Here is an 11894-nt window from a genome sequence, read left to right as displayed (position 1 = left end):
GGACTAAAATAGATTAAACAACTTGCTCAAAGTTATGTAGTTAATGAAAGAATGAACAGGGATTTGAACTCAGCTCTAAGCGGGATCCCACTGTCTTAGTTCATTTAGCATTGCTATACAGAAATATCTGAGGCTGAGTAATTTATAAAGACAAGTGGTTTATGTGGCTCACAGTTCTGCAGGCTATACATGAAGCATGGTGCTGACATCTGTTCAGCTTCTGGTGAGGACCTCAGGCGGCTTCTGCTCATGGGGGAAAGCAAAGTGTGTGTGAAGATCACACGGCAAAAGAGGAAGCGAGAGAGAAGTGAGGTGCCAGGCTTTTTTTTCACCAACTAGCTCTTGCAGCAACTAATAGAGTGAAAGTCACTCTTGTGCCACACCCAGGGAGGACATTAATCTATTAATGAAGGATCTGCCTCCATGACCCAAACACCACCCACTAGGCCCCACCTCCAACATTAGGGATCCAATTTCAGCATGAGATTTTGAAGGGACACACACCCAAACAGTATCACCCATCCTTTTTTCATTACTCAGTTTTGCTTAGATTTTCATGGAGCTGATTATCTAGATGTCAAGTTGCTCAATTTTTTGACGTCCTATCAGCTTTGTGTTAGCAACCCATCCCAGGGAAAATAAAAAAAACGTGAAGCATAAAATTTATCAATCTTTTTACTTAGTATAGCTCTTATAAAAAGTTTTGCTGAAGAAGAAATTGAATCAAATGCCAAAAATTAGAAGCCTCATTAATAACTATGATTTTAATTTTTAAAATTCTCCCTCTGATGTAGAGCATTGGGACTCAAAAGCAGGTGTCATTGTGTAAAACCTGTGCATCAAAAGTCAACATATTAAGGGAATGGCATTTTAAAAATTCTGTCTTATGCTATTGTAAACTGTGATTGGCACAGTTTTATAAACCACATATATTAATTTATTAAATATTCTAAAGTATTTAGTTCACATTACAATGTTTTTTTAAAAAGAAATTTTCTTTATTAAATGAGCTGCTGTCCCAGTTAACAATTAACTTCTGGAAAATATTTTAAAATATCATTTTAAGTCGAGAAGACCACTGCCATTAATGGATAAGTTTAATTTGGGGTCTATGTAGTCTTTTGGGGGTCAGGTATTTTGGGCTGAATTTCACACCTCAAAATACATGTTCATGTTCTCAGCCTTGGCACCTGCTCATGCCTTTATTTGGAAATAGGGTTTTTACACATGTAATCAAATTAAGATGAGGCCACACTGGATTAGGGTGGGCCTTAATCTAATGACTGATGTTCTTATCAGGAAAGGGAAATTTGGACAAAGACACACTTAGAGGAGAATGCCATATGAAGATGATGACAGAAATTAGATGATGGGTCTCCAGGCCAAGGGATGTCAAGAATTGCCAGCAACCACCAGAAGCTATAAGAGAAGCATGGAACAGATTCTCCCTGAAAGCTTCAAGTAGAACCCAATCCTGTTGACATCATGATTTAAGACTTCTAGCCCTAGAAGTGTGAGAGAATACATTTCTGTTATTTCATGCCACCCAGCATGTGGTACTTTGTTCTGGCAGCCCTAGGAAACAAATACCAATACAAAAAATAATCAACCACAGAAAGTACATCTTTCTCTTCTAGTGGGAATTTCTTTTCTTCCAGGTTACACGTTTTCCCTGTGGATACTGATAGACTCCTAAAAGACAACAACTGAACAATATATGTATATTCCTTAAAAAAATTTTTTTGAAGGCAAACATTTTCAAGTATAAAGTCACATCAAATTTCATGGTTCTGAGTCTAACTGGAATACATTTTTATTTAGTAATGGCAAAGAAAGATTTCTGGTTCAAGATCAAAGGATTTGAACAATTCCTATAGATTCTTGGGCTTCCAATGACATCTTCACAATAATATGCAGCAGATGTGCTGCTGTTATGAACCAATGTGTCATCATCCTATCTCCGAGAAAAAAAAAAAACAAAAAAAACACAGGACTGTGTTTGGGAAAGGGGGGATGGGCAAGGACTAGCAAGGAGACACACTCATTTTGAAAAGTTTCTGGGTGCCTGCACTAAACTAGCTTCACTCTCATTTTGTCACTAATAACTGGGAGAAAAACCCTTTCACTTTAATATTTGTTAAAGAAAAAACTACTAGATAAAACTCAAGATACCTATTAAAAAGGAGAAACTCATCAAACATTAAAAAAAATACCAATTGGGTACTATACACTTGGTGCTTTTGCATAAGTAAGTGATCTTGTAAATCCTTTAGTACACTCTGAGGTAAAACAATCACGGATTATTTCCCCTATATTTTTCAGCCAAGGAAACAGCATCAAGGATGATTTTTTTTTACTCCATCAACGCCACACAACTTGTCATTTGCAGAGTTATGATCCAAACCTCTAAATCAAGTCTTCTGACTCAAGAGGAATAACCAGTTGCCTCTCATGCTAAACTGCACTGCACTAACAGTGGGCAGAACTTCTGCCCACTAATCTGGAATATGAAATATATTATGAAACACATCCAGGTTAAAATAAAACTCAGTAAAAGGGATGCAAAAATTGTTTCCTTCTTGGGAACGAGAAAATTGATATTGAAGAGTCAAATCCGGTTTTGGTAATTCAGACATCTATTTGTATTAAGTTGACCAATTTACAAAAAAATAGTTTTGAAATCCTGAACCTATATTCACTAAGAAAAGTAGAAATGACGACAGACATTTAAAATGAACAGACATGCAGTGGGTTTTGATATTAATCTGCAGTTTTTACTTGGGAAGGGGCTGCCGATAATGCTTCATTCATGCTGATAGCTTTGTAGCTGGTCCTGTGGGATCCTGCACAGTGTGCCCCAGAGAAATCTCGTTCTGAGAGTGTGGTCTGCGCTGCTCCAGAACGCTTTGCTAAATATCTGCGTTAAGTTTTTCAATGGCCCAAACTATAGACAATTAAGTTCTGGGTCTTAACCCATTGACTCCCACAATGATGGCATAATATTGGACTTGCTCATGGATCATGTCGCAAATTGTGTAGGAACATGTTCACAAATGGCCTTCAATCCGCTATCTGAGATAGAACTATTTATAGACCCTTATTTCTTTTTAGCTTGTTGGTGTATTCTCTAATCTACCGACCAAAGAAAACTCATCTGGAATTTTTGCTGTAGCAAAGATGTATTGACAAAGGAAAGATATCTTCCTTTTATTCTTTCTCTTTCTTATGCAGCCTTTTTGATTTAGCGGTGTTTATAACAAACTTTTCCTTGCTTTTACTTTAAATGTGTCTCTGCAGGAGGGATACTTCTGGTCATGGCAGTCAAGTTGTATTGTCAAAACCATCTCTGGGGACTCTGAGTGGGTCGTTACAGCTGAGGAGGAGTCTTCTTTTGCCATTCTGAGGTCAGTTTGCTTTTGTATATTTTTTATGATTCTAAGTTCATCTTAGATACTCAATTTCTGCTTTTTAATTCAGTCTTCATTGAGAACATATTAACCATTAAGTTATGTTTTTCTTATGAAATGTGCAAATTCTCAAAATGCCATATATTATAATTGAGGATAAAGTGGAAACTAAGAGCAATTTTTTCCTCCTCAAAATTACAGCATGGAGACTACCCACTAGAGGGTGTCATTGAGCTATTATGGTATGAAATGACCTGCTCCCACAGAGGGTTTGTTTCCTGGCAATTTTGCATCTTGAGTGGATAATGTGGATTGTCTAGTGGGTAAGGGAGAAAGCAGTGATGCTTCACAGATTCCTAAGGTTCTATGTGTCCAAATGGATAAAAAGAAAGAAAGAATATGTATGTATATAAATTTGATAAACACAACATAAATCGTTGCTCACAAACAGGCACACATAAGTACACCTTAAAACAAAACTCCACAATGACCTAAAGATTACTGCCTTTAGCAGAAATATTATTTTTTTCCAGCATTCAATAAAGTGAAGACCTATAGTGCTGCTTTTGGTCACACAGATTAGTGTGTTTTTTTAACCGGAAGATTCATGGGACAAAACATTTCCCTTAGCTTTACTGGGTTTTACTTGCCATTACCCCTGAATATGAGATTGGGCTAAACATTCCAATCTAGATGAACCACAGTGTAAAATCAGATCAACACCCACAGGACTCCAAGATACCTACAAGCATTACCATTTGCTCTTTAAATGTTCACATTTAAGATGCTGGTTTGTTATTCTTTTGATCTTTGGGGGTTGTTAACTTTATAATATTTCAGCGTGTCAATACAATTTTGTAGTTGCTAGCCTGAGCCCTTTTAAATATTTTAGCATGCATCTTTTCATTAGGTTTTCAAATAAAATCAAATCAGTGGTGTCCTTCTTAATGTTGAAAGACTGTCATTAAAAAATAATCCAAGTTCTTTTACCTTTGTTTATAAAGGTTATTTTCAAATTCTTTATCAATTAAATTTTCTAATGTTCCATTTCCGTATTGTCCATTTCTTGGCTTGAGCTGTCATAGCAAATTAATTAATGGCACAGTCTTTCTGATTGGTTATTGTACATTTTATTTAAGAAACTCAGAAGTATTTAATTGGCCTGGAATGTGGCCATTTGAATCAAGCTGTTCAGGTGCATGCCTTTGCTTGTTCCTACTTTCACCATGAAGAGACATCTATTAAATACCAAGTTTGACCTTAGAGAAAATAGTGAAATTGATGTCCCTCAATTATCCCTTCAGTTAGTTTCAAGTGTTTAGAATTTTCCTATCTTCCCTGGCTTTCAAGGAACTCTCTTTTATAATTCCTTTCTCTTAAATCCTCTTAACTATTACCACTCACAGGTTAGTAATAGTTTTAATTAACTTCTTATTGAAGATTACTTAAAATAATGTTCTCTCTTGTCTATGGCTTTAGTTACCATATATATTCTGATTAGTCTTATATATACCAATTCAATATACCAGTTCAGTGATTCTCAAATATTTTTTTCTTAGTAACTCTTTACACTTCTAAAAACTATTGAGAACACATCAAGAGTTTTTAATTATGTGGTCATATCTATTGATACTTATTGCATTAAATATAGAAAGGTTCTAGAACATTTACTAATTAATTTAAAAGATCCACTACTTATCCATTAAAGTAATAGATCCATTACTTACCAATGTAAAAGTACTAATATTACCTACTAACATAAGTAATATGTTTTTAATGAAAAATAACTATGTTCCCAAACTAAAAAAATTAGTGACAAAAATGACACTGTTTTGCATTTTTGCAACTCTCTTATGCCTGGCTTTATAGAAGACAGGTAGATTCTCATCTGCCTCTGCATTCAATCTGTTGTGATATTCTGTTTTGGTTGAAGTATATAAAGACAATTTGGCCTCACACAGATATATAGTTGGTAAGAGAGGTGTATTAGTCTTTTCATGTGACTATGAATATTCTTCTTTGATACTATACCAAATATCAATGAGGTAGTTTCAAAAAAAGCAATTGCAAGGTAGAATCCAAAACTGTAGTAAATAACTTCTCATACTTTATTGCATTAAAATCCACTGGTCTACCTTGCACTTTGAATGGATCTTTTACCCAGGCATGATATTACAACATCGCGTATTTGTTATTTGGAAAAATATTGATTTCTTGGGTTACACATTTTCCAAATGTTGATAGTTTTTATTATACAACATCAAAACAAACCAACCAATCACATTTGAAACATCATCGCCTATCTTCTCAGGAAAGCCTTAAAGTGTTTGAAAGCTGCCAGGCTCCCAGTAGTAGATGCTACTGCCTATACGTGTGCTAAGGCACCAGTAGTATTATCCACCATTGTTTTCACATCGTCAGTGCAAATACCAACAGAACAAAAAAAGGCAAATATGTTCACGTCTTAGTGATGTTATTTAAATAGTTTTGACCTCATGAGTTTCTCAAAAGGGTATCAGGGAATACTCCCGGTCTGTGCACCACACTTTAAAAAGTCCTGTACTAATTAAAAACCTTTCTTGAACCCTAGATCAATATATTCAGTGGTCTACTAGGTGTGCTATAGGCACTGTCAACTCAAGAATCTTGACTGGATAATAGTCACATTTCTTTCCTTCCTCCAAGCTGCTTCTCTTTCGTATTTCATCTCAGACACCTTCATTTTCTAAGCCACTCAAGTCAGAAACCTGTGAGTCACTCCTGAGTTTTATTTACCCTTGACCTCTTTTGACTAATTACTAAGTTCAATCTCTTAAATATACTTCTTCCTGCCCAGCTTTGTCAAGATTGAGTTCAAGTTCAGTATCTCCGACAACTGCCTGTAACTAGTCTTCCCCATCACTCCCTTGCCCAAATCTCCCTCTTTTATTCACAATGCACATGCCTTCTAGATTTAGTTTATAAAGAACAATTCTAGATAATGCAAAAGTAGAATTAGAGCCTCTATGACATACAGCCCTGGCCTCATTTCCTTCCTCTGTCACTTCTCCAGCTGAGTGACCTTGGCAAGTCGCTCAGGCTGTCTGTGCTAGAGTATCTTCATTGTAAAATAATTTTTAATTAAAAAATATTTACTGCATTTGGCTGTAAATATAGACGGATCACGCAGCCTGGCATTTAGCAAGTTCTTAATATATGTTTATCATTGTTTTTGGTCAATTATCTCCCTGCAAACCCTCACCATTTTATTATAAGCATTAGCTGATGTGTTAGAATTATTGTCTTTAACTTATTCTTCATTTTATTCTCAGGGCATATCAGAATATCTGAAACATAGTTAATACTTAATGAAACATAGTTGAATACAGAAAAGATATGGATTATCTATAAATGCAGACTTTCTTAGTTTTATTACTGTTCACATTTCTAAGTCATGTGTCTTAATTCTTGAAGATTCTACTAATTATCAGGCAAAAATATACCATAATAGTTTAACATATATTGCCCTAAAAGAATTAGTTTGTGAACATGTTGCCCTCAGTTGGCAACATATCTAAGACCATTAGAAAAAAACACGTTTCTTCTGATGTCCTAAAAGAGCAGCAGTTTTAACTTACCTGTGGGTAAAATTGATGAACAGTGAGGAAATTCCCCAAAATTCCTAAAAGTATTCACAGTATTCTGTGAATGTCACCTATGCATTTTTTTGGTGGTGGGGTTATGGAGAGGATCTATGTCTTTTATCAGATTCTCAAAAGAGGTCTGTGACCCAGACAAGCAACAACCACCGTTATAGAAGATGTCAGGGAATATAGGACCAGGTTCCAGATTGCCTAGGGAACATAGTACTATAATACCAGATTGTCAGGTTCCATGACAGATTCAGTCAGATGTATTTTCCAGTGGGGAAGATTTTTAGAACATGCCAAATCACACAATAAAGGCAATTGTCCCAGACTTAGGATTGAACTTTCAAAATAAATTATCTGAAGTCCATGACCTTAAACCCAAGTACCTGACCCCTGCACAAGAGCCAATAAATAACATCATTAACTCACAGTGCCGACTATATTCATGTTTCTTCCATGTCCCTTTGGGCTTGTCGCCCGCTCTGCTGTGGCTTACACAGAGCCTGTGATGATCACAGCCCTGGGTTTAGTTTCTTTGGTGTAAATCTCCTGAATTTTTCTTTCATTTTTTACATGTTCTCAATGTGGTGTCTTTTATTTTTTATTTTTAGAATAGAAATCCAAATAGCTCTAAAAACAGAACATCGTGGCTTCTCTTTTTTAAAAAGCCCGAGCAGAGAAAAAAGCCATTCTTTGACCTTATGACATCTTTTGAAAACATGTTTGTTACTAGAATTTTTTATCATGCTCCCTTTGAACTTTAAATTGACTATATGGAGATTTTAACTAAAACTCAGTAAAATATTGGAAGATTCACTTGGATGAAGTATAGTGTCTAAATATAAGATCATAGCCAGACAGTACAGGAATAGGTAAAGGAACAGGTAAAGAAAGGAAGTGAGGGGAATGCCAGAACTATCCAGAATAGAAGTTTTAACTGGCTTTTTTTGATCTGAAATTCCGCATGTTATTTTTGTAAGTACGAGACAATGTTAGGGTCTGGGATTCAGTCCCCTCTTTATAGGCCACCATACATCCCCAACTGTCCAGGAAAATCTCATTTTACACCCATTGCCCAAGAATCTTACTAGTTCCTCTTTCACTCTCAGAAGTATCTCAGTTTGGGCAACAAATTATATGGACCTGCTCTTTGCCACTAACAATGTTATACGTGAGTCCATTAATGCCTCTGGAATTAGGTAAATATACAGTACTGATTAAAATCAAAGAAGCAAAGTGAGCTATTCAGATGGCCAGGCATTATGCTCTTTTTATAGAAGGATAAACTCATAGCCTATGGGAAAAGGCCACATATTGTGTTGCTGGAAAGATTCAATATTATATCTGCAACATGAAGCATGCCTGTGTAGAATAATCTGACCTCATCATTCAGTGTATTCTTGGTGGACAGCCCGTAGCTCAGTGGTCTGTGCAAAGGATAATGATCAAGATCTTATCAGTAGAAAATGGAGAAATGCCTCAAAGGATACTACGGTCATTTTTTCACCCTGTGATTTTTTTTTATTACTCCATGTGTGCAAGTTTGCCTAATTAACCCACAAGGGCTGAACCTGTGATAAGTGAGTGGGACCACAGATGACACCTGATGCTTGGGGCCATCTGATTGATAAGAAATGTGTTTTAATCTGAATTCCTGACTGATCATTTTTTCCATTTTTAGCTTTCACAATAAAAAGTAGAACTCTCTTTTTAAATTTATCAAAATGGAAGTACAGCCAAACACTTTAAAGATAATATGTCTTTGAATAATGCTGTGAAAGAAGTTAATGAAAACAGCAGTCTTTGTCTAGTTTGATACCTTCTCTCCAACCCTTACTGGTCCTTAATGAATTCTGGTCCTCTCCCTCTTCTCCATTTATGGTTTCAAAGAGACACATGTTGGGCTTTTCTCTCTCTCAATTGCTTACTTATTAAAATCTTCTGGTGTATGTGTGACCTATATTTGTGAATGTCCTTAGATCATGTCTCACTGTGATGACACTCATCCTTCAGCCACATGAGTCAGGCATATGGGTGAGTAAGAAGGTTGTGGTTACTGCTTTGCTGGAAACACTTTCTTAGACTCACTTTATTTTTTTGCCATGAAACTAGAAACAAAATTGATACTTCATTTCAAAGAAACTCTACCTACCTCTCAGAATTTTCACTGCAAGTTTTCTTTCTTTCTTCCTTTTTTGAAGAGAGAAATATCTTCCCACTCTTTGTTTTCTTTTTTTAACTTCACTGTCACTGGAGTTCACATACATTGAAATTTAAGTTCTTTGCAATAATCTTAGTCACTGACTGTTTTCAGAAACAAACTACTTTTTGACACAGAGCTTCTGGTTATAGGAACAAGATTTTTAAAATAAATAACTTTAAAAATTGCTTGACTTAAATGTGTTTTAAGCAGATTTCATACTGTTTTCATGATAGATACTTTGTTTTCTTGAGTTATTCTGTCCATACTTCACAGTCTATGAATAGCTAGAATATATTTCTTTCCTTTCTTCTGCTTTTGTTCCACTTATTCATCTTAGTCCGTAATGGCTATAAAACCTGTGATTTAGCATTTTTCACGTATCCAAAAGTGTTTCAGGAATAGAAGGAGTAGAAGAAAAGAATAAATAAACGTGGGAAATATGGAGTGATACTAATTAACATGTGTTGCTTTAATGAAGGGCTGGCTAATGCACACTGAGAAACTCTAAGAAGTGGGGATTATTGCACAGTATTCCCTAGTATATTTGCTCGTGGGAATAGTATCCACTGGACATTTCTTTGGCTTTAAATATTTCATGGGAGCAGTGGCCCATGGAAGAGATTTAAGGAAGTGCTATTCTTGTCCTATTGAATGAAGACAGGTGTGGTTGCACATGTATGAATACCTCTGCAAGTATCAACATGCGGCAATGTGTGTCCATGAATGTGTATGTCTATCTGCGATTAAGGCCTGGCTGCGGGAGGCACTATTCTATCAACACTCTATCTGTATGTATGGATTGATGCCTGCATGGGGGATGTGCTGTGTCCGGAATTCGTGGGTCGGTCTCACTGACTTCAAGAATGAAGCCGCAGACCCTCGCGGTGAGTGTTACAGTTCTTAAAGGCGGCGTGTCCAGTCCAGAGTTTGTTCCTTCTGATGCTCCAATGTGTTTGGAGTTTCTTCCTTCTGGTGGGTTCGTGGTCTCGCTGGCTCAGGAGTGAAGCTGCAGAGCTTCACGGTGAGTGTTACAGCTGTTAAGGCAGCGCGTCTGGAGTTGTTTGTTCCTCCCGGTGGGTTCGTGGTCTCGCTGGTTTCAGGAGTGAAGCTGCAGACCTTCCCAGTGCGTGTTACAGCTCATAAAGGCAGTGTGGACCCAAAGAGTGAGCAGCAGCAAGATTTATTGCAAAGAGCGAAAGAACAAAGCTTGCACAGTATGGAAGGGGATGGACCGGGTTGCCACTGCTGGCTGGGGCAGCCTGCTTTTATTCTCTTATCTGGCCCCACCCACATCCTGCTGATTGGTCCATTTTACCGAGAACCCAGTGGTCTGTTTTGACAGGGCGCTGATTGGTGCATTTACAATCCCTGAGCTAGACAGAAAAGTTCTCCACGTCCCCACTAGATTAGCTAGATACAGAGTGTGGACACAAAGGTTCTCCAAGTCCCCACCAGAGCAGCTAGATACAGTGTCCATTGGTGCATTCACAAACCCTGAGCTAGACGCAGGGTGCTGATTGGTGTGTTTACAAACCTTGAGCTAGATACAGAGTGCAGATTGGTGTATTGACAATCCCCTAGCTAGACATAAAGATTCTCCAAGTCCCCACCAGAGTCAGGAACCCAGCTGGCTTCACTCAGTGGATCCTGCACTGGGGCCGCAGGTGGAGCTGCCTGCCAGTCCTGCGCTGTGCGCCTGGACTCCTCAGCCGTTGGGTGGTCAATGGGACTGGGAGCAGGGGGCGGCGCTCGAAGGGGAGGCTTGGGCCGCACAGGAGCCCATGGAGGGGGAGGCTCAGGCATGGTGGGCTGCAGGTCCCGAGCCCTGCCCCGCGGGAAGGCAGCTAAGGCCCGGCGAGAAATTGAGCACAGCAGCTGCTGACCCAGGTGCTAAACCCCTCACTGCCCGGGCGGCGGGGCCTGCACCCGCTGGGAGTGCGGGCCGGCCAAGCCCACGCCCACCCGGAACTCCAGCTGGCCCGCAAGCGCTGCGCGCAGCCCCGGTTCCCACTCGCGCCTCTCCCTCCACACCTCTCTGCAAGCTGAGGGAGCCAGCTCCGGCCTTGGCCACCCCAGAAAGGGGCTCCCACAGTGCAGCGGTGGGCTGAAGGTCTCCTCAGGTGCCGCCAAAGTGGGAGCCCAGGCAGAGGAGGCGCCGAGAGCAAGCGACGGCTACGAGGACGGCCAGCACGCTGTCACCTCTCAGTGCCACTCCATGGATGAGTGTGCAGGTAGGTGTATATGAATATACTTTATGTCAGTAGTTCCTGTGTAAGACAAGGTGAGAATCAGTTTTCAGCATGATTGGTTTCAGGCTAGCACAAGATGGTGATTGGCTTTAAGCCAAGATTACTGTTTCCTTACCAAATTACATACACAGATCTGCTGGTATAAAGAACTTACATTTTAAAAATTGTGAGAAAGTTAACTGTGAGCTTAAAGTAAAAATTGGAGCTGCTGATGAACGAACCATGAGTAATTGAGGTGCCAGGGGCTCCAGTATCATGGGTAATTGTAGGTTCATTGCTTAATGTATGTGAAATTTGTGTGGAGTAGGACAGAATTATTTCTGTTTGTGTATTCTCTTTTGCTTGTATTGGGCAATGACACACCAATTATCATCGTTCAAATCACTTAGTGCTCCAATTACCATTT

At 38.6% G+C, this 11894-nt stretch overlaps 1 annotated feature.

Annotated features, from left to right (window-relative positions):
- Positions 10466 to 11183: an enhancer, noted in NCBI's record as "H3K27ac-H3K4me1 hESC enhancer chr6:116210349-116211066 (GRCh37/hg19 assembly coordinates)". NCBI's record gives its function as "activates a minimal SCP1, AML or CMV promoter by ChIP-STARR-seq in naive H9 embryonic stem cells {active_cell/tissue: H9 hESC(naive)}" and the evidence as "EXISTENCE:reporter gene assay evidence [ECO:0000049][PMID:30033119]".

Source organism: Homo sapiens, chromosome 6 (genome assembly GCF_000001405.40).
Source record: "Homo sapiens chromosome 6, GRCh38.p14 Primary Assembly".
NCBI classification, from domain to species: Eukaryota; Metazoa; Chordata; class Mammalia; order Primates; family Hominidae; genus Homo; species Homo sapiens.
Note: the sequence above shows the minus strand (reverse complement) of the source record. Positions and strands in the feature narration are given on the sequence as shown.